This window comes from Homo sapiens, chromosome 15, assembly GCF_000001405.40.
Source record: "Homo sapiens chromosome 15, GRCh38.p14 Primary Assembly".
Taxonomy (NCBI): domain Eukaryota; kingdom Metazoa; phylum Chordata; class Mammalia; order Primates; family Hominidae; genus Homo; species Homo sapiens.
The window spans coordinates 43777039-43804477 of NC_000015.10; the positions used below are offsets into that span (position 1 = coordinate 43777039).

Here is a 27439-nt window from a genome sequence, read left to right on the forward strand (position 1 = left end):
CACCTCCCGCCAGCGCCACCCCAAGCTTTCCCAGCCGCGTGGGCGGCGCTTCGCTCTCCCCGGCCAACCGCCCGGACCTCGGCGCTTTCTTCTAGGATCCGCATGAATCGCTTTGGGCTATCGGAAGAGCTATCCCCAGTTCTCGGGAGAAAGAGTCCGCGACCAGCGTCTGACCTCTCACTCAGAGTCCCCAGTCCTGCCTTAGTTTCCCCAGCGACCCTGAATTTGGAGTTGCTGTCTCTAAGTGAAAGCTGAACCTGCAACCCCTTGAGGGTTTCAGCCGCAGAGGGGCGGGAGAAAGGGCCTGGTTGGTAGGCGGGCTCAGCGGTTCGCGCCCAGTTAGCCCCGAGCTTCGGAGACCCGAGAGACCAGAGGATGGCTGACACGAAGGGGCACCCGAGACAGCGCCTGGGCTTTTTCCCGCCCGCGGTTCCACCGCTCTGAAACCGATTTCTAACAGAGAGGTAATTGGGGCCCTGCGGTTGTGGTGGCAGCAGTGAAAGTTGGCTGTCACCGACTGGAGCGCCCCCAGTTGGTGGGCAGGGATACGGGCGCGGGTAGTGGCAGGAAAGTTGCAGGGCAGAGAGCCAGAACCCAGTCCTAGGTCTCACCTCGTGGCCTAAACACGCGTCAGAGTGGTGAGACCGCTCCCTGAGGAGGGCCAGGAGCTGCCATGAAGTCGCCAGGCATTCCAGAGGGCCAGATCCTGGTGCACTGAGACCCCAGCACCAACCTCTGGCCAGCCCTTGGTGTCTCCACTTGTTCCTGTTTGATTATGTTTCCCAAGAGCCCCGATGTTGTCCTGTTTCCTAAACAGGATCCCTCTGTTAAATCCCTGGACCTGCACAATCCCCGGGAACCTTAACGTCCTCTACTACAAATAAAATTACCTATACATTTGTCAAAACTCATAAAAAAAAAATACATTTTTTTTTTTTTTTTTGAGACGAAGTCTTGCTCTGTCGCCCAGGCTGGAGTGCAGTGGCACGATCTCCGCTCACTGCAAGCCCCGCCTCCTGGGTTCACGCCATTCTCCTGCCTCAGCCTCCCGAGTAACTGGGACTACGGGCACCCACCACCACGCCTGGCTAATGTTTTGTATTTTTAGTAGAGATGGGGTTTCACCGTGTTAGCCAGGATGGTTTTGATCTCCTGACCTCGTGATCCACCCGCCTCGGCTTCCCAAAGTGCTGGGATTACAGGGATGAGCCACCGCGCCCGGCTAATACACATAAAATTTGTATGTAAATTATACTTCAATAAAGTTGATCTTTAAAATCTGTGCTATTTCTGTTTCTCTGCGGCAATATCCTAATCTGATAAACAGTTGTGGTAATGGATAAAGCTGGTCTCTTAGCTGGGCATGGCGGTGCATGCCTGTAGTCCCAGCTACTCAGGAGGCTGAAGCAGGAGGATCGCTTGAATCCATGAATCAGGTTGCAGTGAGCCATGTTTTCGCCACTGAACTTCAGCCTGAGCAACAGAGAGAGACCCTGTCTCAAAAAAAGAAAAAAAGGCCAGGCGCGCTGGCAGATTCCATCTCAAAAAAAAAAAAAAAAAAAAAAAAAAAAAAAAAAGAGGCTGGGTGCGGTAGCTCATGCCTGTAATCCCAGCACTTTGGGAGGCTGAGGCAGGTGGATTACCTGAGCTCAGGAGTTCGAGACCACCCAGGGCAACATGGTGAAACCCTGTCTCTACTAAAACTACAAAAAAATTAACCAGGTGTGGTGGCGCACACCTGTAGTCCCAGCTACTTGGGAGGCTGAGGCAGGAGAATCGCTTGAGCCCCAGAGGTGAATGTTGCAGTGAGCTGAGATCACGCCACTCCACTCCAGCTTAGGCTGGAGTGAGACTCCATCTCAAAAAGAAACCTGAGTTTTGCTGAATACGGGGACAGAGAAATGGGAGTCATGGTGGAGGAAATAGGATCAAGAAAAAGTTTTAAGATGGGAGAAATAGCATGTTCCATGTTGACGGAAATAATTTTTAGAACATCTCCAAAATTTTGATGGTGTAGGAGATTTACTGCAGTAGTGCCCTTGAATAGGTTTGAGGTCATGAGATCTATTCAGGATTAGCTAAAGCCTAAAGGTAGGAGTGTGGGCAGTTCGTTTATGGTAACAGGCCACAGGCAGAGAAGGTGGGTGTAAGTGTAGAGGTTAGGTAGATGTGGTGGGAGTCTGAAAATTTTTTTCTGATTGCTTCCATTTTTCTCAGTGAAGTAGGAAGCAACTGAGAGAGAGAATGAGGGAGGAGTGATTGGGGTTGAGGTGTGAAAATAGTGTGAAACAGTTGCCTGTAAGTGTGAGAGAGTGAATAAGTTAGGAATGTGTCAAACACTAAGGACTGATGATAAATCTGAGGCTTAGAGAAGCAGAGATTCTAAACCTAGGCCTACAGATCATACAATTCAGGGAATCTGTGAACTTGGAAGGGAAAAAAAATTACATATTTATTTATTTATTTATTTTTGAGGCAGGTGTCCCTCAGTTGCCCAGGCTGGAGTGCAGTGGCACAATCATAGTTCACTGCATCCTCGAACTCCTGGGGTCAAGCAGTCCACCCACCTCAGCCTCCTTCATAGCTGTAACTACAGGAGCGTGCCACCATACCTAGCAATTTTTTAAATTTTTTGTAGAGACAGGATCTTGCCATGTTGCCCAGGCTGGTCTCAAACTCCTGGCCTCAAGTGATCCTCCCACCTCAGCCTCCCAAAGTGCTGAGATTTACAGGCATGAGTCTCCATGCTCAGCCAAAATTACATCTGTATTTTCACTAACTTTTAACAGAAATTTAGCATCTCCTTTAATTATGAATGTAGGCAACAAATCACTGGTACTGGCAGTAACTGCAATGTTATTACTAATAGAAATAACAGATATTTTCATTTTACATTACAAGTGTTGAAGATACATCTAAATATTGTTTGCATTCAGCACACTTTGTAATTATAATTGATATTAGACTTGCTGTTAGATCTTTAATACATTGATAAAAATCAGTTACATCATAAACATTTTAATATTTTGATAATTATATGTGAATATAATTGTTTTTCTTTATGAACCCCTGTGTTTTTTGCAAATTTAAAAAATGTTTATTTATTTTCTTTTTTTGGAGGCCAGAGTTTGGCTCTTGTCAACCAGGCTGGAGTGCAATGGTGCGATCTTGGCTCACTGCAAGCTCTGCCTCCCAGGTTCACGCCATTCTCCTGCCTCAGCCTCCCGAGTAGCTGAGACTACAGGCGCCCGCCACCACGCCCGGCTAATTTTTTGTATTTTTTTTAGTAGAGACGGGGTTTCGCCATGTTAGCCAGGATGGTCTCGATCTCCTGACCTCGTGATCCGCCCACCTCGGCCTCCCAAAGTGCTGGGATTACAGGCGTCAGCCACCGCGCCCTGCGATCTTGACTGTTTTTAAGTGTATGGTTCAGTAGTGTTAAGTATCGCCTATCCTATCGCCCTGCAGCCAATCTCCAAAGCTCTTTATCTTGGAAAACTGAAACTCTATATCCATTTAACAATTCCCGATTTCCCCCTCCTCCCAGCCCCTAGCAACAACCACCCTTCTGCCTTCTGTATCTGTGAATTTGACTACTGTAGATACCTCATACAGTAGTCTACCCTTATCTTCAGGGAAGTTCCAAGGCCCTCAGTGGATGCCTGAAACTGCAGATAATACTGAACCTGAATAATGACAATCAGAACATGTTTCTGTTCATGTCTCCCATCCACAAATGTAATGCCTTTTCTGTCTTAATTAAGCACTTAATGATGCACTGTGGCCATAACTTTTGCAGTTTGAGGTGCAACAGCAAAACTGGCATGAGTTTTTCTCTCTTTTTTTCACAATTTCACGAATAGGGGAGATTTGTTCTTACCTTAAATCTTAGCTAACTCAGCATAAGATTTTTTTTTTCCTTATTGAGAACTTCTACCTTTTCACTTAAAGGAAGCACTTGATGGCTTCTCTTTGGCAAAACCAAATTGGCAGCAACACTACTCTTGCATTTTGGGCTCATTATTAAGTAAAATAAGGGTTGCTTGCATATAAACACTGTGATACGCTCTGATAACTGAGATGGCTACTAAGTGATTAGTGGGTGGGTGTTGCCTACAGTGTGGATACACTGGACAAAGGAAGGATTGCCATCCTGGGTGGGATGGAGAGGGAGGACACAAGATTTTATCACACTATTCAGAACAGCACTCAATTGAAAAGCTTCTGAGTTGTTGGCCAGCCACGGTGGCTCACGCCTGTGATCCCAGCACTTTGGGAGGCCGAGGCAGGTGGACCATTTGAGGTCAGGAGTTCGAGACCAGCCTGGCCAACATAGCGAAATCCCATGTCTACTAAAAACACAAAAATTAGCTGGGAGCGGTGACTAATTTTAGTCCCAGCTACTCGGGAGGAGGAGACAGGAGAATCACTTCAACCCAGGAGGCAGAGGTTTCAGTGAGCTGAGATAGAGCAAGGTCTGTCTCAAAAACAAACAAAACAAACAAACAAACAAACAACAAAAGAAAAACTTATTGTTTATGTCTGCATTTTTCCTTTTTTTTTTTTTTTTTGAGACAAGGTCTCACTATGTTACCCAAGCTGGAGTGCAATGGTACAATCCCGGCTCACTGAAACCTCTGCCTACTGGGTTCAAGCGATTCTCCTGCCTCAGCCTCCTGGGACTATAGGCATGCCACCATGCCTGGCTGATTTTTGTATTTTCAATAAAGATGGGGTTTCACCATGTTGCCCAGGCTGGTCTCGAACTCCTGGACTCAAGTGATCCACCTGCCTCGGCTTCTCCAAGTGCTGGGATTACAGGTGTGAGCCACCGCACCTGGTCCTACTTCTTCTTCTTTTTTTTTTTTTGAGACACAGTTTGCTTTGTCACCCAGGCTGGACTGCAGTGGTGCGATCTCAGCTCACTGCAACCTCTGCCTCCCGGGTTCAAGCAATTCTGGTGCCTCAGCCTCCCGAGTACCTGGGATTACAGGCACATGCCACTGTGCCCCGCTAATTTTTGTATTTTTAGTAGAGATGGGGTTTCACCATGTTGTCCAGGCTGGTCTTGAACTCCTGACCTCAGGTGATCCGCCCGCCTTGGCCTCCCATAGTGCTAGGATTACAAGCGTGAGCCACCATGCCCGACCCTACTTCTATTTTTAAAATGAGGATTTAACTCTCATCTGCCCCCAAAATATGCATGTACTTTCTCTCTCCATCCTCCTAATGTAGTAATGTTATTTTTGTTATATCAATATTGAATGTTTCTATTATTAGGAGTATGTAAATGTTATTTGCAAGCTGTGACACTTACCATATTATGTTCACATTTTCCTTCTTGTATGTTCCTCTACACCAATTAATAATTATGCATTTTTTTTGTTTGCTTAGTTACCTATGTACTTATTACCAATTCATTCTCATACCCTCTTCTAGGAGTATAACTCTCCTCTTAGTATAACCAAATACAATCAGATAATTTATCAATTTTATCAGTTTCCATTTTTTCTTAGATATATGGCTCCAGAGCCCTCCATACTCCTGCTCCAATCTGAAATGATTGTTCTCTAGGTCGGCTGCAAAGCTATTATCCTGGGATCTCCCTTCTATCTCAGCTGGAGGATTTCCTTCACTTACCTCCTGTGTCAGATACACTTTTTCCTGGATCCTGTAACTTTTTTCTTGGCTTACTCCCTCATTTTGGTGCAAAGCCTCAAAGGATTTATCCACCATGCATTCTTTTCAGGAAGCTTTTGGACAAATCCTTTGAGACTTTGCATACCTTTATTTTATTCTCATAACTTTTTTTTTTCTTTTTTTTGAGATGGAGTCTTCGCTCTGTCACCAGGCTGGAGTGCAGTGGCGTGATCTCGGCTCACTGCAACCTCTGCCTCCTGGGTTCAAGCAATTCTCGTGCCTCAGCCTCCTGAGTAGCTGGGATTACAGGCACGCACCACCACACCTGGCTTTTTTTTTTTTTTTTTTGAGACATAGTCTAACTCTGTCACCAGGCTGTAGTGCAGTGGCACAATTTCAGCTCACTGCAATCTCCACCTCCCGGGTTCAAGCCACTCTCCTGCCTCAGCCTCCCGAGTAGCTGGGATTACAGGCATACGCCACCACACTCAGCCAATTTTTATATTTTTAGTAGAGACAGGGTTTCACCACATTGGTCAGGATGGTCTCAATCTCCTGACCTCATGATCCGCCCAGCTTGGCATCCCAAAGTGCTGGGATTACAGGCGTGAGCCACCATGCCTGGCCAACTTTTTTTTTGAGACAGTCTCACTCTGTTGCCCAGGCTGGAGTGCAGTGGCATGATCTCGGCTCACTGCAACCTCTGCCTTCTGGGTTCAAGCAATTCTTGTGCCTCAGCCTCTTGAGTAGCTGGGACTACAGGCATGTGCCACCACGCCTGGCTAATTTTTGTATATTCTTTTAGTACAGACGGGGCTTCATTATGTTGGCTAGGCTGGTCTCGAACTCCTGGCCTCAAGTGATCCACTGGCCTCGGCCTCCCAAAGTGCTGGGATTACAGGCATGAGCCACCAAGCCTGGCTTCATAATTTTTTTTAAGAGACAGAATTTTGCCCTGTTGCCCAGGCTGGAGTGCAGTGACACAATCATAGCTCACTGCAGCCTCAACCTCCTTGGCTCAAGCAATCCTCCCACCTCAGCCTCCCAAGTAGCTGGGACTACAGGCACACACCACCATATCTGGCTAATTTTTTTTTTTTTGAAATGGAATCTTCCTCTGTCGTCCAGGCTGGAGTGTGGTGACGTGATCTTGGCTCACTGAAACCTCCACCTCTGGGTTCATGTGATTCTCCTGTCTCAGCTTTCTGGAGTAGCTGGGACTACAAGCGGGTGCCACCACGCCCAGCTATTTTTTTTTTTTTTTTTTTTTTTTTTTTTGTATTTTTAGTAGAGACGAGGTTTCATCATGTTGGCCAGGCTGGTCTCAAACTCCTGACCTTGTGATCCGCCCACCTTGGCCTCCCAAAGTGCTGGGATTACAGGTATCAGCCACCGCACCTGGCCACATGTGGCTAATTTTTAAAAGTTTTGTAGAGATGGGTCTCCCTACCCAAGCTGGTCTCAAAGTCTTGGTCTCAAGTGATTCTCTTGACTTGGCCTCTCAAAGTGTTAGGATTTCAGGCATAAACAACTGAGTCCAGCCTATTCTCTTCAGGTATTTGATAACATTGCCCCATTGTCTTCTCGTTTCCAGTGTTGCTGCTGACAAGTCTGTAGCCATTCTGATTCTTCATCCTTTGTATATGAACTATTTTTTATCTCAGAAGCCATTAGGATCTTTTTAATTCTGACACTCTGATGTGTGGTGATGTAGAGCTTTTCTCATTTCTTGGGTTGGGCACTCTGTGACCTCCCTCTATTTTTGTTTTATTTATTTATTTTAATTAATTAATTCGTTTGTTTGTTTGGAGATGGTGTCTCACTCTGTCACCCAGGCTGGAGTGCAGTGGCGCGATCTCGGCTCACTGCAAGCTCCGCCTTCCGGGTTCACGCCATTCTCCTGCCTCAGCCTCCCGAGTAGCTGGGACTACAGGCACCCGCCACTGCGCCCAGCTAATTTTTTGTATTTTTAGTAGAGACAGGGTTTCACCATGGTCTCGATCTCCTGACCTCGTGATCCGCCTGCCTCAGCCTCCCAAAGTGCTGGGATTACAGGTGTGAGCCACCGCGCCCGGCCCTAATTAATTTTTTTGAGACGGTGTCTCACTCTGTCGCCCAAGTTGGAGTGTAATGACTGAATCTTGGCTCACTGCAACCTCCACCTACCGGGTTCAAGTGATTCTCCCGCCTCAGCCTCCCAAGTAGCTGGGACTATAGGCGCGCACCATCACGCTTGGCTAATTTTTGTATTTTTAGTAAAGACAAGGTTTTGCCATGTTGGCCAGGCTGGTCTTGAACTCATGACCTCAGGTGATCCGCTCACATCAGCCTCCCAAAGTGCTGGGATTACAGGCGTGAGCCACTGTGCTCTGCCATTATTTATTTATTTATTACTTTTTTTTTTTTTTTAGACAGAGTCTCACTCTGCTGCCCAGGCTGGAGTGCAGTGGAGCAATCTCGGCTCACTGAAACCTCCATCTCCTAGGTTCAAGCTATTCTCCTGCTTCAGCCTCCCAAGTAGTTGGGATTACAGGCGCCCACCACCACACCCGGCTAATTTTTGTATTTTTAGTAGAGATGAGGTTTCACCATGTTGGCCAGGCGGGTCACCAACTCCTGGCCTCAAATGATCCACCTGCCTCAGCCTCCCAAAGTGCTGGGATTACAGGCGTGATCCACCGCGCCCCGCCTGAATGTTTCTTTCTTTCTTTTATTTTTTCCTTTTTTTTAGAGACATAGTCTTGCTCTGTTACCCATGCTGGAGTACGGTGGCGAGATCACGACTCACTACAACTTTGAATTCCTGGATTCAAGCAATCCTCCCATCTCAGCCTCCTGAGTAGCTAAGGACTACAGGTGCGTACCACCACTCCTGGCTGTTTTCTGAATATCTGTTTTTATAAACTCCCTATTGTTGTTCAATACCCTCTCTCAAAGAATACTATTTATAGTCCTGTGTCTCCGATTTTCTTGTGATCTTGCAACTGAATTGTTTCTGTATCCTCTGGGACTGAATTTTCTTTTTCTTTTTTTTTTTTTTTTTTTGAGACAGATACTTGCTCTGTCACCCAGGCTAGAGTTCAGTGGCTTGATCTCAGCTCATTGCAACCTCCGCCTCCTGGGTTCAAGCAATTCTTGCGCCTCAGCCTCCCAAGTAGCTGGAATTACAGATGCATGCCACCACGCCCCACTAATTTTTGTATTTTTAGTAGGGACTGGGTTTCACCATGTTGGCCAGGCTGGTCTTGTACTCCTGACCTCAAGTGATCTGCCCGTCTCGGCCTCCCAAAGTGCTGGGATTATAGGCATGAGCCACCATGCCCAGCCATGAGACTGAATTTTCTGCTTGTGTTTTTTTGGGGTCTATTTTTATGTTAGGACTGTTTTCTCCAACGCTTGGTGATCTTTGGCTCTATATTCATCTCTACAAGCAAGGCACTAAAAAGCTGGTTGAAGGCCAGACACAGCGGCTCACGCCTGTAATCCCAGCACTTTGGGAGGCTGAGGCAGGCAGATCATGAGGTCAGGAGGTCGAGACCATCCTGACTAACACGGTGAAACCCTGTCTCTACTAAAAATACAAAAAATTAGCCAGGTGTGGTGGCGGGTGCCTGTAGTCCCAGCTACTTGGGAGGCTGAGGCAGGAGAATGGTATGAGCCCAGGAGGCGGAGCTTGCAGTGAGCCGAGATTATGCCACTGCACTCCAGCCTGGACCACAGAGCAAGACTCTGTCTCAAAAAAAAAAAAAAAAAAAAGCTGGTTGACGTTTGGTACGCATGGAAAGAGCTGCCTACACTTTAAGATAATCTGACTGGACCATTTCATTATGTAAGGCCTAAGTTCATCTAATTATCCAAGCTTATCCCCCTCTCAGGGCCTTGGTATATGCTGTTTCTCTTGTGTGTGTTTGATTAAAAGTATTTGGCTGAAGTGACAGAAATCTGACTCAAGGTAGCTTAAACCAACAAAACAATATGGTAGTTCCCACACCAGGAAACTCAATGTAGAACAAATGTTACAGTTGAGGTATCCAGTGGTCCAACAGCATGACCAAGAACCAAGATTCTTTCTGCTACTCATTTGCTTCAACCTAAGGCTGGCTCTCTTCTAGGTGATAGACTAGAGCTGCCAGGAGCAGTATGGGCTATGTGTTTCCTCATTCATGTCAACGGGAAACAGCATTGTCACCACCCTAGCAATGGAAAAAAAGTCCTTCTCTTTGGTCTGATCAGGCTAATTTAGGCCACATGCTCACTCCTGAACCAATAACTGTTACCAGGTGAATACCACAAAATAATCTGCTTAGGCCTGGGTTCGTTTTTTTGTTTTTTTTTTTTTGAGATGGAGTCTGCTCTGTGGCCCAGGCTGGAGTGCAGTGGCGCTCCACTCGGCTTACTGCAACCTCCGCCTCCTGGGTTCACGCCATTCTCCTGCCTCAGCCTCCCAGGTAGCTGGGACTACAGGCGCCTGCAACCACGCCTGGCTAATTTTTTGTATTTTTAGTAGAGACGGGGTTTCACCGTGTTAGCCAGGATGGTCTTGATCTCCTGACCTCATGATCAGCCCGCCTCGGCCTCCCAAAGTGCTGGGATTACAGGCGTGAGCCACCACGCCCGGCCAGGCCTGGGTTCTTAAACCAATCAATATTAAAAGGGATTAGTTTACTTTGATTGACTTAGCCATTCAGTACCACTCTTGGAGTATAGGCTGGAGGGGAAGAATTTTTTTATTTTTTGAGACAGAGTTTCACTCTTGCTGCCCAGGCTGGAATGCAATGGTGCGATTTCCGCTCACCGCAACCTCTGCCTCCCGGGTTCAAGTGATTCTCCTGCCTCAGACTCCCGAGTATCTGGGATTGCGGGCATGCGCCGCCATGCCAGGCTAATTTTGTATTTTTAGTAGAGACGGGGGTTTTACCATGTTGGTCAGGCTGGTCTTGAACCCCTGACCTCAGGTGGTCTGCCCACCTCAGCCTCCCAAAATGCTGGGATTATAGGCGTGAGCCACCTTGCCCAGCCAGAATTTTTTTTTTTTTTTGAGACAGGGTCTTGCTCTGTTGCCCAGGCTGGAGTGCTGTGGCATGATTACAGCTCACTGCAGTGTCAACCTCCTGAGCTCAAGCCATCCTTCCACCTCACACCCTCGAGTAGCTGGGACTATAGGCACACACCACCACACCTGGCTAGATTTTTAGTTTTTTTTTTTTTTTTTTTGAGATGGTATCTCACTCTATCACCCAGGCTGGAGTGCAGTGGTGCAATCATGGCTCACTGCAACCTCCTCCTCCCAGGTGCAAGCAATTCTCTAGCCTCAGCCTCTCGAGTAGCTGGGATTACAAGGTATGTGCACCATGCCTGGCTAATTTTTGTATTTTTAGTAGAGATGGGTTTTCACCATGTTGGCCAGACTGGTCTTGAACTCCTGACCTCAAGAGATCTGCCTGCCTAGGCCTCCCAAAGTGCTGGGATTACAGGCATGAGCCACCACGTTCAGCCTAATTTTTAAATTTTTTGTAGAGACGGGGTCTCACTATATTGCCTAAGCTTGTCTCAGACTCCTGGCCTCAAGGGATCCTCCCTGTCGGCTTCCCAAAGTGCTGAGATTACAGGCATGAGCCACCATGCCCAACCTGGAGACAGGGTTTCACTGTGTTATCCAGGATGGTCTTGATCTCCTGACCTCGTGATCGGCCCGCCTCGGTCTCCCAAAGTGCTGGGATTACAGGCGTGAGCCACTGTGCCCAGCCTTCAACCAGCTTTTTAGTGCCTTGCTTGTAGAGAACCACTTCTGAGGTAATATTTATTTATTTGTTTGTTTTTTGAGACAGGGTCTCATTCTGTCACCCAGGCTGGAGTGCAGTGGCGTGATCATAGCTCACTGCACCCTCCATGAGGTAACATTTAAACTGAGACCTAGAGCCTGTTGCCTGTGATAGTCTCCTGACTGGTCTCCTCATTTCTATTCATCTGCTGTAATCCATTCTCTACTGGTAAAGTGATCTTTTCAAAGCTTACACTATGCTAATGAAGAGCACAGGCTGGGTTAGACTCTCAGCTCCACCCCTTATTATCTCAGTTTCGTTGAGAAAGTTATTTAACCTGCCAGGGCCGAGGTTTCTAAATCAGTAGGAGGGGGATAATGACACCTCCAAAGGTCATCGTAAGGCTCAAATAAGAAAAGTACACTAGGGCCGGGCGCGGTGGCTCACGCCTGTAATCCCAGCACTTTGGGAGGCTGAGGTGGGCGGATCACAAGGTCAGGAGATCGAGACCATCCTGGCTAACACGGTGTAACCCCGTCTCTACCAAAAACACAAAAAATTAGCCGGGCGTAGTGGCGGGCGCCTGTAGTCCCAGCTACTTGGGAGGCTGAGCCAGGAGAATGGCGTGAACCCGGGAGGCGGAGCTTGCAGTGAGCCGAGATGGCGCCACTGCACTCCAGCCTGGGCGACAGAGTGAGACTCTGTCTAAAAAAAAAAAAAAAAGAAAAGTACACTAAATGTACCAAATAAAAACCCACCTGATGTTAGCTAGTAGTTATATTAGCAGTAGTAACTTGGATCTTGTCACAACCCTACCTCCCTATCTGACCTAGTTTCACACCACCCTGCTCATTAGGCATTAGTGACTTGCCCTTTACCTACACAATAATCCTGTGGCTCTTGATGGGATGACCTGAGGGAGGAGGGCCTTAGGGCCTTCACACGTGCTGTTCCCTCCTGAAATGTTCTCCCTGCCCTTCCCTCCTGGGCTTGGCTAATTTCTCATCTTTTTGCTTTAGCTCAAATATCACTTACTTCACCTCCCTAATCAAAATTAAAGTCTACAGAGTCCACAGGTGTACTCCCTTCATAGCACCAGCAGTACTATTTAGTTACTTCATACCAGGTGGAATTGTTCACAGAGTCTTCATTCAAATTACACTGACATCTGTTTTTATGGGTCAGTGCTTAAGCTGTGTGCACTGCGAAACATTTTGAATATCATCCTTGCGTGGAATCTGTTATTTTCCTTTAAAGCTATTATCATGATCAGTTTTCATATATAGGCTGGGCATGGTGGTTCAAGCCTGTAATCCCAGCACTTTGGGAGGCTGGGGTGGGTAGATCACTTGAGGTCAGGAGTTCGAGACCAGCCTGGCCAACATGGTGAAACCCTGTCTCTACTAAAAAAAAATACAGTCCGAGCACAGTGGCTTGCACCTGTTATCCCAGCACTGTGGGAGGCCGAGGCAGGTGGATCACCTGAGGTCAGGAGTTTGAGACCAGCCTGACCAACATGGTTAAAGCCTGTCTCTACTAAAAAATACAAAAATTAGCCGAGCGTGGTGGCACGCACCTGTAGGCCCAGCTACTCGGGAAGCTGAGGCAGGAGAATTGCTTGAACCTGGGAGGTGGAGGTTGCAGTGAGCCGAAATCGCACCACTGTACTCCAACCTGGGCGACAGAGCAAGACTCCATCTCAAAAAAAAAAAAAAAAAATTATCCGGGCGTGGTGGCGGGTGCCTGTAATCCCAGCTACTCGGGAGGCTGAGAAAGGAGAATCGCTTGAATACAAGATGGTGGAGGTTGCAGTGAGCCGAGAGCATACCACTCCAGCCTCCAGCCTGGGTAACAGAGTAAGACTGTCTCAAAAAAAACCAAAAATTCATATATATAGACAGACATATAAATACATATATGGATATTAGAGAGAGAGAGGCAGACAGGGAGAGGGAGAGAGAGAAAGTGTGAGAGAGCTTTTTTCTCTGTATCTTTCATGATTATAGGAATATGCTGTGCTCATCAAGATATACCCAATTGTGGCTGTGCACCGTGGCTCACACCTGTAATCCTTGCACTTTGGGGGGCCAAGGAGGGCGGATCACCTGAGGTCAGGAGTTCCAGACCAGCCTAGCCAACATGATGGAATCCCATCTCCAGAAAAACAAAAATACAAAAATTAGCCGGGCATGATGGCGGGTGCCTGTAATCGCAGCTACTTGGGAGGCTGAGGTGGGAGAATAGCTTGAACACAGGAAGCAGAGGTTGCAGTGAGCCGAGATCACGCCAATGCACTCCAGCTTGGGTGTCTCTTATTAACTGTTTATTTATTATTTATTTTGAGATGGAGTCTGGCTCTGTCGCCCAGGCTGGAGGGCAGTGGCGTGATCTCGGCTCACTGCAAGCTGCTGCTCCTGGGTTCACACGGTTCTCCGGCCTCAGCCTCTCAAGTAGCTGGGACTACAGGCGCCTGCCACCACACCCAGCTATTTTTTTTTTTTGTATTTTTAGTAGAGACGGGGTTTTACCGTGTTAGCCAGGATGGTCTCGATGTCCTGACCTCGTGATCCACCCGCCTCTGCCTCCCAAAGTGCTGGGATTACAGGCGTGAGCCACCTTGCCCAGCCTTTCTTATTAACTCTTTTTTTTTTGAGATGCAGTCTCGCTCTGTCGCCCAGGCTAGAGTGCAGTGGTGCGATCTCGGCTCACTGCAAGCTCCATCTACCGGGTTCACGCCATTCTCCTGCCTCAGCCTCCTGAGTAGCTGGGACTACAGGCGCCCGCCACCACGCCCGGCTAATTCTTATTAACTTTTTTTTTAGACGGGATCTCGCACTGTCGCCTGGGCTGGAGTGCAATGGCGCGATCTCGGCTCACTGCAACTTCCGCCTCCCGGGTTCAAGCGATTCTCCTGCCTCAGCCTCCCAAGTAGCTGGAATTACAGGCGCGCCACCACGCCCGGCTAATTTTTTGTATTTTTAGGGTTTTCACCATTGTTGGTCAGGCTGCTGGTCTCGAACTCCTGACCTTCTGATCTGCCCACCTCAGCCTCCCAAAGTGCTGGGATTACAGGCGTGAGCCACCACGCCCGGCCCTCCAGGGTCTTAATACAAAACCGGGTGGCTGGTGGCGATGGTACAGTAAGAAAAGCTCCAGAGGGGAAAAGCGAATATGTGAATTATCTAATCTCAGCCACTGATCCAACTCCATAGTCTGTGACTTTTGGAGTCCTCCAATACTTCCAAGCTGCATGTTCACATTTAAAGTTTCTGGGGGAAAACGAACAGGGTAGAGTTTTAGGAAATACCAGATGTTGCTGCGATTTTCTACAGTGAAGGGGCGTGGAAGGGGACAATGGGAGTAGAAGCGGGTTTCTGAAGTTGTGTTTGTACTTGATTTTAAGCGAGCTGTGAACAACTCGTGTCCAAATAAGTGGCTGAGAGGTGGTCCTAAGTAAGCACAAGTTTAGTAGTAGAGTACTCGTAACACAGAACTGGCTGAAACCCCGCCCTCTTGTCTACGGGCGTTCTTTCAGGGCGACTTTGTCAGTACCCCAAACTGTCCCCGCATGAGGTCACTCTGCACGGTCACGTGCTCGAGCCCGCGGGAGCGCCACATCGCCAGCCGCACCCCTCCACCCCCAACCTGCCCACGTGACCCGGCCTAGTTTCTCCAGGCCCGTCCCTACGTCTCACTCGGGAAGCCCCGCCCCACGCTGAGCGCTCCGCCTGCGACCCTCCGCCACTTACCCACCCCGGCTCAAGCACGACCCGTGGATCCACGTGCTTTTTCTTGTCCAATGGGAGCCGGCTCCCGGGCGCGAAGGGGCGGGGAGGAAAGGAACGACTGTGCTACGTTGCCAGAAGGGGCGGGACCTGCAACGTCCGACAGAACGAGGGGACGTAACGGAGGCAGGTTGGAGCCGCTGCCGTCGCCATGACCCGTGAGCACCGAGCCCCCTTCTCCTTGCCCTTTTCTTTCCGTTCACCCTAAACACCACCGGCGAGGCGCCGGCTTTGACCTTCCGTAGCTTCCCTAGCAAGGCGTTTCTCTGGGCGCGCTCTGTGGCCACCCTCACACTCGGTGCCCGGAAATCGAGCCCTTTGCCCACGGCTACTTCACGGGACCACCCTCCCGGGTTAGGCATAGGCCCTCCCGGATCTTCCGCGGTGTAAGGAGAAGGCCAGCGCCCCTGTGATAGGCCCAGAGCCCCCACTCCACAAGCCAGCCCATCCCCCACGGAGACCCAAACCGTCCACACACACCTTGCCAGCTGTTTGGGCCCCACGCCGCCCCAAAACACGCCTCCAGCTGGCCCCTTGGGACCTCCCTTCTCTAGTCCGTATTTTGACCTGGCCCGTGGCAGATTCGCCACTCCCCCCTACCCCAAGCAGCCTGGGCCTCGATGGGCCGTTGTCGGGGCCCGGAGATTGAAGTGGTGTTGGATCCTGCTGCTGGCCGCGCTGGGGTAGAAGGGTCGCCGGTGTGTGGGCAGAGCGGCCCCCGCGTCTCACCTTTAATTTTCTTTCCTTAGGCGGTAACCAGCGTGAGCTCGCCCGCCAGAAGAATATGAAAAAGCAGAGCGACTCGGTTAAGGGAAAGCGCCGAGATGACGGGCTTTCTGCTGCCGCCCGCAAGCAGAGGTAGCCCCAGGGAGGGGAGGGAAAGGGACGGTGGAGACCTGGGTTAGACCAAGGGTTATAGAAGGAAAGAGAGCTACCTCAGGGCTTGAATGTGGACTAGTCGTGAGGAGCAGAGTGCATTGCTTCCTCTAGGGTTTTATTTCCTCCCCACCCTCCAAATTGTTAGCTCACAGCCTTACAGGAAAGGACGGGGGCGGGCGCCTGCCCTCAGTCTGATTTCTGAGCGTCCCTGGGTCTGACCTTAAGGGCAAGGGCAGGGAGCTTCACATTTCAAATACAGTTGTGGTTACGGCAGCCCAGTACTTTTGGCCCTCCTTGCTGTTCGGTTCTCCTCCCTTCTCCCAACCTCCTCACTGGTGTTGCTGGGTGTGGTCCTCAATACAGAATAGAGACCCTTGGGCCTGTGTCACCAGACTTCTGACCCCTTGGGCAACAGCCAGATGGAGACTGGTCGCCTTTTGAGCCTCAGCTCTCTTCCTCTTGTTCTCCTAGGGTGGGAGTACAGCAGCCAAACGCTGAACTTAGTCCCATCCACTTCCATCTTATCCTTTGTGCCCTTCATCCCCCTGCATCTTGTCCTTTTTGCCCTCTGGTACCTCCCAGTGCCCCATCATCTCTACCCCCAGGGACTCGGAGATCATGCAGCAGAAGCAGAAAAAGGCAAACGAGAAGAAGGAGGAACCCAAGTAGCTTTGTGGCTTCGTGTCCAACCCTCTTGCCCTTCGCCTGTGTGCCTGGAGCCAGTCCCACCACGCTCGCGTTTCCTCCTGTAGTGCTCACAGGTCCCAGCACCGATGGCATTCCCTTTGCCCTGAGTCTGCAGCGGGTCCCTTTTGTGCTTCCTTCCCCTCAGGTAGCCTCTCTCCCCCTGGGCCACTCCCGGGGGTGAGGGGGTTACCCCTTCCCAGTGTTTTTTATTCCTGTGGGGCTCACCCCAAAGTATTAAAAGTAGCTTTGTAATTCCTTGAGCGCCTGGTTTGACTGGGGACTTGGGGGGATGGGGTTGGAAGAATGACTGCCCTTTCCCACCAAAAAAGGGAGAACTCTTTAGATTCAGATTGTGGGTATGTAGACTTAATAAGTGAAACATCACAGAAGAAGCCTTTATTATACAATGACAACCAAACAAGTACTCCGGATATGCAGTAGAGGAATCCTCTAAGAACCATAGAGACTTCTTTTCTGTGATTTTTGTTCCCCACCCTTGAACACCATCTCTAGGATGGAGTTGGCCTAAGAGTGAATGCTGCAAGATCTGTGTTTATGCCTCTTTTCCTCATTCTTCCTCAGTTTGTTCGTCTGCTTGAAAGTTGGCCAAAAAATCCTGCTGCTCACCGACTTCCCGTGGTCAGCTGCTGTCAAGCGTTCACTTTCTCTTCTGTCATTCCTCATGGAATGAGGGTGGTTTTGTCTTCCCGCTTCCCTTGACCTCAAAATCAGGATTAAAACCTGGGGTAGCCTCTGTGCTCCTTTCTTCTATGCCCTGGTTTGTTCTGTGGTTCTGGGCTTCTTATATCCGTGTGCCCAGGGCTGAACTCCTTATTTTCCTTTCTCCAAGGGCAGAGCCGAGTCTTCAGTCCCTGTTGGTCTTTCCCCACCCCCACTTCCAGCCCAAGAGCCAGGAAAGGGCTGGTGCCACACTGTCTGCTGGGATCAGCGGTGGTTCTTTGAGCTGCTGATTTGGGTGTTAGGCTCTTGAGCTGGGATGCAGATGTAACAGTAGCTCCAGTGAGTCAGACACTCTGCCCAGCACATTAGACTGTGTTTGACCACTTCTTCCAGTTCATAGTATTGACTTCAGCCCAAACGGAGATAACTCCCTGTGTGTCCTTGAGGTATTGAGCTGGGCTGGACAGCTCCCCTTGAGCCAACTCTAGGAGTACAATGTCAGGGGAACCCCAGTTTGTGAAAAGGACTTAGACTGGAGGATATTTGTTATCTGGGGATATGATGCGGTGGCGGCGGCGCCTCAAGATAAGGGGCTGGGGTTTCTGGGTGGGGGGCCAACAGAGTGGTGCCAGTAACAGCCCCAGATAGAGGAGTACGCAGGCCCAGCATGAGGCAACCTTGACCCAGAAGGTGGCCCAGCTACCCTTGATGAAGGTCTTTTCCAGTTCTGCTCCCTCATAGCTGTGTAACCAAAGGCTCTGGTTAGAGAATATGAAGGGCCTTAGCTTTTAGACCTGTTCTACCTCCTCACCAAATATAATGGCAGACCCATGTGTGTCTGGAATGGCCTTGAATTGCTCTTTCCTTAAAATAGCTAGCTCTTCAGGAGAGTATCTAAGGCCCACTCCATCTTACCTGAACCAGTTGGTAAGGGTAACCATGACATAGAGTGAGGCAAGGAAGAAGACGAAGTGGAAGGCAGAATAGTTGTAGGAAAGATGCTGGACTTGGACTGGAGGAGCTGGAGGGGTTTCTTGGTCAGCTGGCCTCGCAGCCCCACCCCTTTGCCCTGGAGAGAGGAAATGGCTGCTGGGAGCAGAGCTGCTGAAACACCTCTTCCCCTCTCCCCCAACTACCTTTGTTAAGGCTCTTGAGGGTTCTTATGGCACTCCACAGAGATCTACCACTTCTTATGGTTCCTCACTTGGCACTCACCTTTGTCTGCCTCCACTGTTTCAGGGCAGCAGAAACACAGTGAGGGCTTCTGCAAAACAGAACGCAGGTTTTGGAATGGTCTTAAAAGATGTGAGGGTGTTAATCTAGGAAACTTCCCCCGTGAAAAGATTGGTCTAGTATTAAAAAGTGGAGGCACACCTGGGTTCAAATTCTAGCTCCAGCATATAAGTGGCTGTGCAGACTTTGGTAAGATGTTTAATCTTTTGTGCCTCGATTTCTCCATTTGTAAAATGGAGCAAATACCTACCTCACAGGGTTGTTGTGAGGGTTAAATTAAATGAGATTATGTAAAAGTATCTAGCACAGTTGCCTAGCACATTGTGGGTACTCAATAAAAGGTAACAGCAGCTATAATCTGAGCATTCTGGGTAGAGGTTGGTAGGATGTGTGTGTGTCTTTGTGTGGGGGAGGGAGGGTGTTGGGGATATGGAGCTCTTTATCCTCACCTGAAACTCATAGCTGTAAACCTTGACAATCCACAGGGGTCCAAATACCTCAGCCAGGTAGGAGGCCTCATTGCTGAGAAAGAATAGAGTTCTTAAGCTGGTTTAGTTAAATAGGGATTATCTGGGGGCATTTACTACCAATTGGTCCATACTGGTAATCCTCAAAAGGGTACCATACTCCCTGTGCCCTTTTCCACCAAAGATTTAGAATTCTATTCATGTGAGAGCCCTAAGGTCTTTGGACATATTTTAAATTCTCAAGTCATTCCCCCCACCCCCTTCATCTCATACAGATCATCTGACAAAGTACTATTCTTAGAATTTGTCCCTGTTTGTGGGGAGCTTTTCTCACTCTAGTCTTGCTCTAAACTTTAAATAATGGTCCCAGACATTGTCCTGACCATCCTTCCCTGTCTTGGGCACCCTCCTTTCATACCTCCACCCTTGACACCTTTACGCACCAAGCAAAAAGCACACAAGCATACATGATGCTAGCACTCAGCATTGCTAGAGAGATATCTGGTGTTTGGGGTTCCATTTTACTCAGGCCAGGCAGGCACAGGGTGTGATTCTGTCCTTGAAGGATTACTGGGAAGGGACAACAGAAGAGATGGGTATTAACAATGAGCTAGGTATTTGGCAGGGGCAAAAAAAGGTCTTAGCATGGAGAATCCAGGTCCTGTCCCTTACCTCTCTCTGGAGGACGGCTGGACAGTGCAGAGAAAGTCAGATACATGATATAGCAGCTGATGACAGAAGCTTGTAGGAGGCCAGAGCGGGGTTGCTCTGGGGAGTAAGTATAATTGCTTTAGTCTACAGGCTGGTAATTTCCTCCATTTCTACCCCCACTTGTACTTCTGTCTCCCCATCCTTTGGTGGGGATAGGGAAGCAGAGATTCTTTTATCAAATAATTGAGATTAGGGAGGTAATGAAACTTGCTATGCTTTTAAGGCCCCCAAAACCTGGAATGCTGTAGGACATGTACCCACTGAGGCGGATGCAAGGAGCGATGGAGAGGAAGGAGATGAGGCCACAGAAGCAAAGGTGCAGACTGAGGAGCATCTTGTTAAGCAGGCAGCCAGCTGGGTGTGTATAATAGTGGAATAGGAGCACAGCTCCCACACCTGCCATGCTGTAGAATCCTAGGGTGGCCAGCAGGACAGCCAGGAACCAGCTACAGTCTTGAGCTGCACCTGTCTGCCTAAGGGTGGAAAGTGGGCAATGGCTTGGAGCTCCAGCATTTTTTTTTTTTTTGAGTTGGGAGTCTTGCTCTGTTGCCCAGGCTGGAGTGCAATGGTGTGGTCTCAGCTCACTGCAACCTCCGCCTCTTGGGTTCAAGTGATTCTCCTACCTCAGCCTCCTGAGTAGCTGGGATTACAGGCACCTACCACCATGTCCAGCTAACTTTTATATTTTTACTAGAGATGGGGTTTCACCATGTTGGCCAGGCTGGTCTCAAACTCCTGACCTCATGATCCACCCACCTCGGCCTCCCAAAGTGCTGGGATTACAGGCATGAGCCACCGTGCCCAGCTGGAGCTCCAACTCTTTTACCCATTACCAACTACTCCCCTGCTCTCAGAAGACTGGTGTGACTAGCCATCCTACTTGGCCCACGCAGTCATCACATTCCTAAGCTTTTTTGATACTGCTCAGTGGGAAGCTGTGGGACCAGTGCTCTGCCGTGCCTTTTGCCCAGCCCTTTCCATGTAGTAATACTAGAAACCTCCCCAGGAAAAGCCTTTAGGGTTATGTGCCCCTTACCAGTTCTTGTTCCAGGAATGGGCAAAAGCTGTAATAAGCACCAACTGCAGTAGGATGAATGCAAAGCCTCCACAGATGCCAATGTAATGCCATGCTGCAAGATGGGCACCAGTGGAAAAATGTCAAATTGTTACTTTTTTTTTTTTTTGAGACAGAGTCTTGCTCTGTCACCCAGGCTAGAGTGCAGTGGTGTGATTTCAGCTCACTGCAACCTCTGCCTCCCGGGTTCAAGTGATTCTTCTGCCTCCACCTCCTGAGCAGCTGGGATTACAGGTGCGTGCCACCATGCCCGGCTAATATTTTGTATTTTTAGTAGAGATGGGGTTTCACCATGTTAGCCAGGATTGTCTTGATCTCTTGACCTCGTGATCCGCCCGCCTCAGCCTCCCAAAGTGCTGGGATTACAGGCGTGAGCCACTGCACCCGGCCATTACTCCTCTTCTTACCCACTTGTTATCTTAGAAAACTTAGCCTACTCCTGCCAAGAGTGTGGGAGGGAGAGTACCTGGGAAGAGATGCTCATCAGGAATGCAGAAGGCAATAGCACAGAGACCTAACAGGAACAGCAGCTTGAGGAGCCAGAAGCTGGTTAGGAGGGAGAAAGAAAAACAGACTCAGGAGAAAAGGCAAAGGACAGTGAAGAGTGCCTATGGGGAAAGGCAAAAGAGAAACCAAAAATATAGGAAAGAGGACAGACGAGACAACTAAGGAGGAACCAATCCCAAATGAGAGGGGGTTGGGACAGGCCTACTGCACCTTATTCCAAATTCTAACTCAAAGATACTTAATAGCATCTGGGCAATGTTTTACAGTTTATAAAGGATTGTGTTACCAAGATAACCCCACTGTTACCTCCATTTTAGATGCTAGAAGCACAAAGTCTGGCTCAAGGTTACACAGCAAGTACACGAGAAGCAGGGACTTAAACCTGTTTTCTGTCTTTTTACAGTGCTATTACTTCATCCCGGAATTTCCTTTACCCAGCCTATGTCTACTTTCCCTCCTCTGTCCCCTCCCCACCCAGAAAGTACACACAAACCTATTATGCAGCTGTGCCCGCGGGCTGGTGGGGGAGTGGAGGTGGACCAGCAACACAGCCTGCAGCAGGTGGAAGGTGGCGGTTCCTGCACATACTCGGTACACAGCCCCAGAGCCACTGAGCACTGGACAGTCAGAGAGGCCAAACAGGTGGGCACACAACCCCGAGGGCATCTGGATCTGGGAGTGTGTGTGAGAGAAATGGCAGGACAAGTCATAATGCATGGAAAGGTACCTACTTGTCACGGGTATGACCACTCATTTGTCTCCTGCCCCCAACCGAAACCTTTTCTATCTTAGGGTTTTTCCTTTTATCTCTTCCCACCTGACAACCCGACCCCCTCTCACTTACCCTGTGTGTCTTGCCCCACACCCTTTCCACTACTGTCCTTGACAGCAGGAGGCAGCAGATTGCTGAGGCCCCCACATGGAGGAGGATGTAGAACAGGCGGCTGCAAGTGGATGCGGTGAGAGAGGGCCACCTAGAGTGGCAGCAGCTGGCACAAGGAGCAGGCCCACAGCAGCACACCTGGGAGTAGAGCAGATGCAAGGCAGCGAGGTGGAGACTTGCTGAGGAAAGGCATACGTTAATGTATGTGTGAGGTTAACCCAGGAGGTTGAATTCCAAAATTTCCCCTTCCCCTTTCTTCCTTTTACTCAGGTTCTGTTTCAAGCTGATTCCAGCCATTTGGGATTGCCGCCCACTGACAACTTAGTAGGGCTTTCATTATAAGCAGGCTTGAGATATCTGACCTTTCTCTCGACCTAAACACCTGGGGCTGGAAACATGGCGGGAGAGATTTACAGATTATACCTGGGGCAACGAACCAGAACGACATTAGAGGAGAAAAGAGGCCTGTCGTTTTTATTGGCTTCTGCACGTCTTCCTCCCCAGCTTCGGCCACTCTCCCCTTCGCACCCTCTCACCTGACAGAAGGGACTTTTCACTAGGACACTGCTGCCTCCGCTGTGCTGCTGTGCCAGGCCCAGGGAGGTGCCGGGGCTGGGGCCGGCCTTGGCACCCACCATCCTTGTCCCAGGGATTAGGCTTAGGTCCACCAGATGGAAGGCAGATGAGAGCAGCAGTTGCTTCTGTCCTCAGCCCATTGGACTGCCACTGTGTTGGGGCTGAGCACCCGGTCCCGGGCAGAATGGAGACGTCCGGAAGAGAACACTGACCTCCAGGTTGCGGTAAATGCAAATGCCCTGTGAAGGAGCTTTGTCCTTAGGGCCTCAACACTGCGGCCACTCAGGCTGTTCTCTCCAGATTAGGGGGCAGTTTGTCTATCTGGCCCCCTGTGGATTAGCATTCTTTATTGGTTTAGGATTAGACGTCATTCAGGTTGAACGGAGTTCCCTGAGGTGGGTGGGTGCGTGTTTATGTGTTGAGGGGACTATTCCTAGTTTATGAGGTGGTTAAGGATATCGGTGGGGTGGGCTGGAGCGGTGTCGGGTTAGGTCTGAGAGAAGGCCTCGCACAAAACACTGTACAAACCCGAAAGGAAGTCTGAGAGACGAACCGCCTTCCTCCCTGAAGCTTCTAGAACTGGAGCAGAAAGAAGGTGTGGCCCAGGGCCAGCCCCGCCTCCTCCCCGGGCGGAAGCTGTGTCAGTTGCCGGAAGTCGGCGTGAGGTGGGGCTTATGCGGCGGCGTGGTGAAATAGATATGGCGACCGAGGGGGATGTGGAGCTGGAGTTGGAGACTGAGACCAGTGGACCAGAGCGGCCTCCGGAGAAGCCACGGAAACATGACAGCGGTGCGGCGGACTTGGAGCGGGTCACCGACTATGCAGAGGAGAAGGAGATCCAGAGTTCCAATCTGGAGACGGTAAGGTTGGCCAAGAGCATGTCGGGGCGGGCTGAGAGCAGAGGGGGGCTCTGAGGCTGTAGCTGGAAGCCAGCGCTCCAAGACGGGGTTCTGATCCCGTTGGCAGGAGGAGGCAATAGGGTAGAGCCGAGGGAAACAGCGGTCACCGGAGCGCGCCGCTTGCCTAAAGGAGCTTGATAGTGGGCTTAAGGGGACCTCAGGTGCATAGAATGGAATTAAACATAGTCCTTGCTACCTGGTAACACTTGTCATCGTGAATCCATGCATGAACCGCTTGTTTTGTTGGCCTTTTAGATTATTGGGAATTGTGGGTAGCGGTGCAGTAACTAGACCTGCCTTTCCCATAGGCCATGTCTGTGATTGGAGACAGAAGGTCCCGGGAGCAGAAAGCCAAACAGGAGCGGTAAGTCTTCAGGGGCAGCCAACTTTAACAGTTCTTCCCTCCCCGGTCCCCAGACAAAAATAAAAACCATTATTAAGCCTTTATACCGTTCTTCAAATTTATCACCAATTCCTGCAGATCTAGGCGCCACAACTTTACTCTTGTTAGCAGAAGGCCTCCTGGCAACACCTGCTGCCAAGACTCCAGGGGAAAGGAGTATTAGTGGGAGTTTTTATTTTCAATCAAGGGTTTATCAAGATTTATTTACAGGGCACTTCTGGGAATGACCCTTCCTGGGAGTTTATGGTGTTGGTTGAGAATGAGGACTAATATATTTAAATATTTTTGCAGGGAGAAAGAACTGGCAAAAGTCACTATCAAGAAGGAAGATCTGGAGCTAATAGTGAGTGGTAGTGCCTAACTAGTGTATGCGGAGGGGAGGCTATTCTGCTTAATTTGGGTTGTTTCCTGAAACAAGCGGAGTCAGTATATTTGGTGGCACATTAATGCCTGGGAACCTATGTAACATGATTTTTTTCTGCAGATGACTGAGATGGAGATATCTCGAGCAGCAGCAGAACGCAGTTTGCGGGAACACATGGGCAACGTGGTAGAGGCGCTTATTGCCCTAACCAACTGATGCGTGCTTTCTCAAATATACCTACTGGATTAATTTATGGCAATAAAATTTTTTTTTGTCTTTTTCAGTTTTATCATCTTGGGTCAAGTAGAGTGTATACTATATCCTATGTTGTGGAGAATTTATATGTTGGAGACTAACTGAATTTAAGTGACCCATTAAAATCTAGCACACCTGTATGAAAAATCAGTGTAGAAGAATACCTCATGTGCAGATGCTAGGTGGCAGGCCAGTCTCATTCATCTGACTAGCTCTCAACAGTATTCAAGGTACATCTGGAGTCTCAGCAGAGTTACTGTACTCAAATGGCATGTGTCTCCAAGACAGCTTATGAATATCTAAAAGGCCAGCTACCTGCCTAGGAGCCACTATATATATAGATAGATGTAGGTTATGAACCCAGTTCATAGGCCACCTTGAGTTAGAATTTTGGTACCTACAACATGCTTGATTTTGAGTGATTAAAAAAAAATAATTTGGCTGGGTGCTGTGGCTCACACCTCTAATCCCAGCACTTTGGGAGGTCGAGGCAGGTAGATCACGAGGTCAGGAATTCAAGACCAGCCTGGCCAACATGTGAAACCCCGTCTCCACTGAAAATAGAAAAATTAGCTGGGCATGGTGGTGGGCGCCTATAATCCCAGCTATTCTGGAGGCTGAGGCAGGAATCGCTTGAAATTGGAAAGCAGAGGTTGCAGTGAGCTGAGATCACACTACTGTACTACTGTACTCCAGCCTGGGGGAAAGAGTGAAACTCCATCTCAAAAAAAAAAAAAAAAAAAAAAGCCCGGGCACAGTGGCTCACACCTGTAATCCCAGCACTTTGGGAGGCTGAGGCAGTCGGATCATGAGGTCAGGAGTTGAAGACAAGCCTGGCCAACATGGTGAAACCCTGTCTCTACTAAAAATACAAAAAAAATAAAATTAGCCAGGCGTGGTGGTGCATGCCTGTAGTCCCAGCTACTCAGGAGGCTGAAGCAGAAGAATTGCTTGAACCAGGGAGGCGGAAGTTGCAGTGAGCTGAGATTGTGCCACTGTACTCCAGCCTGGGTGACAGAGCGAGACTGTCTCAAAAACAAAACAACAAAAAAGAATTTAGGGGCCAGGCATGGTGGCTCATGCCTGTAATCCCAACACCTTGGGAAGCTGAGGCAAGACGATCACTTGAGCCCAGCAGTTTGAGACCAGCTTGGGCAACACAGTGAGATTTCGTCTCTACCGCGCTCCCCCCACCACCAAAAAAAGAATTTAGGTACCTGAGGGTTAGAACATGGTAAGACTAGAAGATATCAAAGGTTGGGCCAGGTGTGGTGACTCATGCCTGTAACCCCAGCACTTTGGGGAGGCTGGGCTGGGAGGACTGTGTCAGGTCAGGATTTCCAGACCAGCCTGGGCAACATAGCATGACCTTGTCTCTACTAAAATTAAAAAAAAAAAAAGCCAGGCATGGTGGCATGTGCCTGTCTGTGGTCCCAGATACTCTGGAGGCTGAGATGGATTTGCTTGAGCCTGGGAGGTTGAGGCTGCAGTGAGCTGAGATTGTGCTACTGCACTCCAGCCTGGGCGACAGAGCAAGACTGTCTCAAAACGAAAAAAACCTATGAAAGGTTTTGATTGGTATTCAAATTCTAAGCCATAATACATTCTACATGCCATTTCCTATCCTAGAGAGAAGGTAATTTTACTTTAAAGGTTAATCAGGGCCGGGCGTGGTGGCGCATGCCTATAATCCCAGCACTCTGGGAGGCCGAGGCAGGTGGATCACCTGGGATCAGGAGTTTGAGACGAGCCTGGCCAAAATGGTGAAACCCCATCTCTACTAAAAGTACAAAAAAAAATTAGCTGGGTGTGGTGGTGGACGCCTGTAATTCCAGCTACTAGGGAGGCTGAGGCAGGAGAATCTCTTGAACCCAGGAGGTTGCAGTGAGCAGAGATCGCGCCACTGCACTCCAGACTGGGCAACAAGAGTGAAACTCCATCTCAAAAAAAAAAAAAAAAAAAATCAGCTTGGACCAACTCACACATGTTGAACTAGTTTCCTCAACTATAAAACTGTGACGGCCCCAGCTAGGCACAGTGGCTCAACGCCTGTAATCTCAGCACTTTGGGAGGCTGAGGCGGGCGGATCGCGAAGTGAAGATCAAGACCATCCTGGCTAACATGGTGAAACCCCGTCTCTACTAAAAATACAAAAATTAGCCAGGCATGGTGGCAGGCGCCTGTAGTCCCAGCTACTCGGGAGGCTGAGGCACTCTAGCCTGGGCAACAGAGCCGTCTCTTTAAAACAAACAAACAAACAAAAAAAAAACCCTGCAACGGCCCCTGAGTCTGCTGTAAGGACACTCAAATGGCAATTACAGACATTTCTCCAAGAGTTTCAAGGCCTTACCCTCATTCTGACTCTAGGATAATTCTTAGATTGTATCCCACACAACAGTGACTTGTACCTGTGTTCATCTTTATGTATTTACCACCTCATAGTAATTATTTGCATTCATTTTTATCGTACGACACTAAACTATTTGATTCTTCCAGTGGGACATTTAAAGGATGTGAGAAGACCTTGGTCTTCTCAAAAACATCTGTATTTGGTCATGGAATAAATCCAGATGCTACCTAAAGCCAAGCTAGTACCTGAGCTTGTTTCTGAGATCAAAGGGAATTATCAAAA

General features: G+C 49.1%; 3 protein-coding genes, 1 long non-coding RNA gene and 1 other non-coding gene across 12 annotated transcripts, besides 15 other annotated features; 3 read left to right on the top strand and 2 right to left on the bottom strand.

Moving 5' to 3' along the window:
* Nucleotides 48–19051, top strand: SERF2 (small EDRK-rich factor 2). Of its 6 annotated transcripts, NM_001199877.2 has the most exons (5): nucleotides 48–464; nucleotides 8372–8496; nucleotides 14938–15345; nucleotides 15937–16045; nucleotides 16672–19041. In NM_001199877.2, the coding sequence occupies exons 3-5, from the start codon at nucleotides 15339–15341 to the stop codon at nucleotides 16733–16735; spliced, it is 180 nt and encodes a 59-aa protein (NP_001186806.1). In that variant the 5' UTR covers nucleotides 48–464; nucleotides 8372–8496; nucleotides 14938–15338; the 3' UTR covers nucleotides 16736–19041. The 6 variants fall into 6 exon arrangements, 5 of the variants coding, with proteins under 5 accessions (NP_001186806.1, NP_001186804.1, NP_001186805.1 ...); NR_037672.1 differs by lacking the exons at nucleotides 48–464; nucleotides 8372–8496 and having other exon boundaries at nucleotides 16672–16898; nucleotides 17336–19051; NM_001199875.1 differs by lacking the exons at nucleotides 48–464; nucleotides 8372–8496 and having other exon boundaries at nucleotides 16538–19051.
* Nucleotides 51–260: an enhancer, noted in NCBI's record as "active region_9324". NCBI's record gives its function as "activates an Ori minimal core promoter by ATAC-STARR-seq in GM12878 lymphoblastoid cells {active_cell/tissue: GM12878}" and the evidence as "EXISTENCE:reporter gene assay evidence [ECO:0000049][PMID:35858748]".
* Nucleotides 10991–11050: an enhancer, noted in NCBI's record as "active region_9325". NCBI's record gives its function as "activates an Ori minimal core promoter by ATAC-STARR-seq in GM12878 lymphoblastoid cells {active_cell/tissue: GM12878}" and the evidence as "EXISTENCE:reporter gene assay evidence [ECO:0000049][PMID:35858748]".
* Nucleotides 11985–12484: an enhancer, noted in NCBI's record as "H3K4me1 hESC enhancer chr15:44081221-44081720 (GRCh37/hg19 assembly coordinates)". NCBI's record gives its function as "activates a minimal SCP1, AML or CMV promoter by ChIP-STARR-seq in primed H9 embryonic stem cells {active_cell/tissue: H9 hESC(primed)}" and the evidence as "EXISTENCE:reporter gene assay evidence [ECO:0000049][PMID:30033119]".
* Nucleotides 12287–12376: an enhancer, noted in NCBI's record as "active region_9326". NCBI's record gives its function as "activates an Ori minimal core promoter by ATAC-STARR-seq in GM12878 lymphoblastoid cells {active_cell/tissue: GM12878}" and the evidence as "EXISTENCE:reporter gene assay evidence [ECO:0000049][PMID:35858748]".
* Nucleotides 14777–15976: an enhancer, noted in NCBI's record as "CDK7 strongly-dependent group 2 enhancer chr15:44084013-44085212 (GRCh37/hg19 assembly coordinates)". NCBI's record gives its function as "activates an origin of replication core promoter dependent on BRD2, BRD4, P300/CBP, MED14 and CDK7 cofactors, with strong dependence on CDK7, by STARR-seq in HCT116 cells {active_cell/tissue: HCT116}" and the evidence as "EXISTENCE:reporter gene assay evidence [ECO:0000049][PMID:35650434]".
* Nucleotides 14777–16094: a biological region, named in NCBI's record as "CDK7 strongly-dependent group 2 enhancer GRCh37_chr15:44084013-44085212".
* SERF2-C15ORF63 (SERF2-C15orf63 readthrough) lies at nucleotides 14938–25551 on the top strand. Its single transcript, NR_037673.1, has 6 exons — nucleotides 14938–15345; nucleotides 15937–16045; nucleotides 23457–23746; nucleotides 24094–24149; nucleotides 24480–24531; nucleotides 24673–25551. It is a non-coding gene; the product is annotated as an SERF2-C15orf63 readthrough (long non-coding RNA).
* Nucleotides 14965–15044: a silencer, noted in NCBI's record as "silent region_6389". NCBI's record gives its function as "represses an Ori minimal core promoter by ATAC-STARR-seq in GM12878 lymphoblastoid cells {active_cell/tissue: GM12878}" and the evidence as "EXISTENCE:reporter gene assay evidence [ECO:0000049][PMID:35858748]".
* Nucleotides 15765–16094: an enhancer, noted in NCBI's record as "active region_9327". NCBI's record gives its function as "activates an Ori minimal core promoter by ATAC-STARR-seq in GM12878 lymphoblastoid cells {active_cell/tissue: GM12878}" and the evidence as "EXISTENCE:reporter gene assay evidence [ECO:0000049][PMID:35858748]".
* Nucleotides 16430–17283: an enhancer, noted in NCBI's record as "H3K27ac-H3K4me1 hESC enhancer chr15:44085666-44086519 (GRCh37/hg19 assembly coordinates)". NCBI's record gives its function as "activates a minimal SCP1, AML or CMV promoter by ChIP-STARR-seq in primed H9 embryonic stem cells {active_cell/tissue: H9 hESC(primed)}" and the evidence as "EXISTENCE:reporter gene assay evidence [ECO:0000049][PMID:30033119]".
* On the bottom strand, nucleotides 16621–16721 carry MIR1282 (microRNA 1282). The gene has a single exon (NR_031695.1). It is a non-coding gene; the product is annotated as a microRNA 1282 (primary transcript).
* On the bottom strand, nucleotides 17124–23182 carry SERINC4 (serine incorporator 4). Of its 2 annotated transcripts, NM_001258031.2 has the most exons (12): nucleotides 22847–23182; nucleotides 22272–22448; nucleotides 21921–22099; nucleotides 21387–21466; nucleotides 20882–20975; nucleotides 20107–20318; nucleotides 19807–19902; nucleotides 19578–19704; nucleotides 19117–19189; nucleotides 18650–18698; nucleotides 18350–18503; nucleotides 17124–18175 (listed from the first exon to the last, which is right to left on the bottom strand). In NM_001258031.2, the coding sequence occupies exons 1-12, from the start codon at nucleotides 22946–22948 to the stop codon at nucleotides 17962–17964; spliced, it is 1557 nt and encodes a 518-aa protein (NP_001244960.1). In that variant the 5' UTR covers nucleotides 22949–23182; the 3' UTR covers nucleotides 17124–17961. The 2 variants fall into 2 exon arrangements, with proteins under 2 accessions (NP_001244960.1, NP_001244961.1); NM_001258032.2 differs by lacking the exon at nucleotides 20107–20318 and having other exon boundaries at nucleotides 22272–22489.
* Nucleotides 18005–18506: an enhancer, noted in NCBI's record as "H3K4me1 hESC enhancer chr15:44087241-44087742 (GRCh37/hg19 assembly coordinates)". NCBI's record gives its function as "activates a minimal SCP1, AML or CMV promoter by ChIP-STARR-seq in primed H9 embryonic stem cells {active_cell/tissue: H9 hESC(primed)}" and the evidence as "EXISTENCE:reporter gene assay evidence [ECO:0000049][PMID:30033119]".
* Nucleotides 18507–19006: an enhancer, noted in NCBI's record as "H3K4me1 hESC enhancer chr15:44087743-44088242 (GRCh37/hg19 assembly coordinates)". NCBI's record gives its function as "activates a minimal SCP1, AML or CMV promoter by ChIP-STARR-seq in primed H9 embryonic stem cells {active_cell/tissue: H9 hESC(primed)}" and the evidence as "EXISTENCE:reporter gene assay evidence [ECO:0000049][PMID:30033119]".
* Nucleotides 22279–22979: an enhancer, noted in NCBI's record as "H3K27ac-H3K4me1 hESC enhancer chr15:44091515-44092215 (GRCh37/hg19 assembly coordinates)". NCBI's record gives its function as "activates a minimal SCP1, AML or CMV promoter by ChIP-STARR-seq in naive H9 embryonic stem cells {active_cell/tissue: H9 hESC(naive)}" and the evidence as "EXISTENCE:reporter gene assay evidence [ECO:0000049][PMID:30033119]".
* Nucleotides 22980–23680: an enhancer, noted in NCBI's record as "H3K27ac-H3K4me1 hESC enhancer chr15:44092216-44092916 (GRCh37/hg19 assembly coordinates)". NCBI's record gives its function as "activates a minimal SCP1, AML or CMV promoter by ChIP-STARR-seq in naive H9 embryonic stem cells {active_cell/tissue: H9 hESC(naive)}" and the evidence as "EXISTENCE:reporter gene assay evidence [ECO:0000049][PMID:30033119]".
* Nucleotides 22980–23837: a biological region, named in NCBI's record as "H3K27ac-H3K4me1 hESC enhancer GRCh37_chr15:44092216-44092916".
* Nucleotides 23383–27389, top strand: HYPK (huntingtin interacting protein K). Of its 2 annotated transcripts, NM_016400.4 has the most exons (4): nucleotides 23561–23746; nucleotides 24094–24149; nucleotides 24480–24531; nucleotides 24673–27389. In NM_016400.4, the coding sequence occupies exons 1-4, from the start codon at nucleotides 23585–23587 to the stop codon at nucleotides 24766–24768; spliced, it is 366 nt and encodes a 121-aa protein (NP_057484.4). In that variant the 5' UTR covers nucleotides 23561–23584; the 3' UTR covers nucleotides 24769–27389. The 2 variants fall into 2 exon arrangements, with proteins under 2 accessions (NP_001186814.1, NP_057484.4); NM_001199885.1 differs by lacking the exon at nucleotides 24094–24149 and having other exon boundaries at nucleotides 23383–23746; nucleotides 24673–25551.
* Nucleotides 23588–23837: an enhancer, noted in NCBI's record as "active region_9328". NCBI's record gives its function as "activates an Ori minimal core promoter by ATAC-STARR-seq in GM12878 lymphoblastoid cells {active_cell/tissue: GM12878}" and the evidence as "EXISTENCE:reporter gene assay evidence [ECO:0000049][PMID:35858748]".
* Nucleotides 27390–27439: the final 50 nt, after the last annotated feature.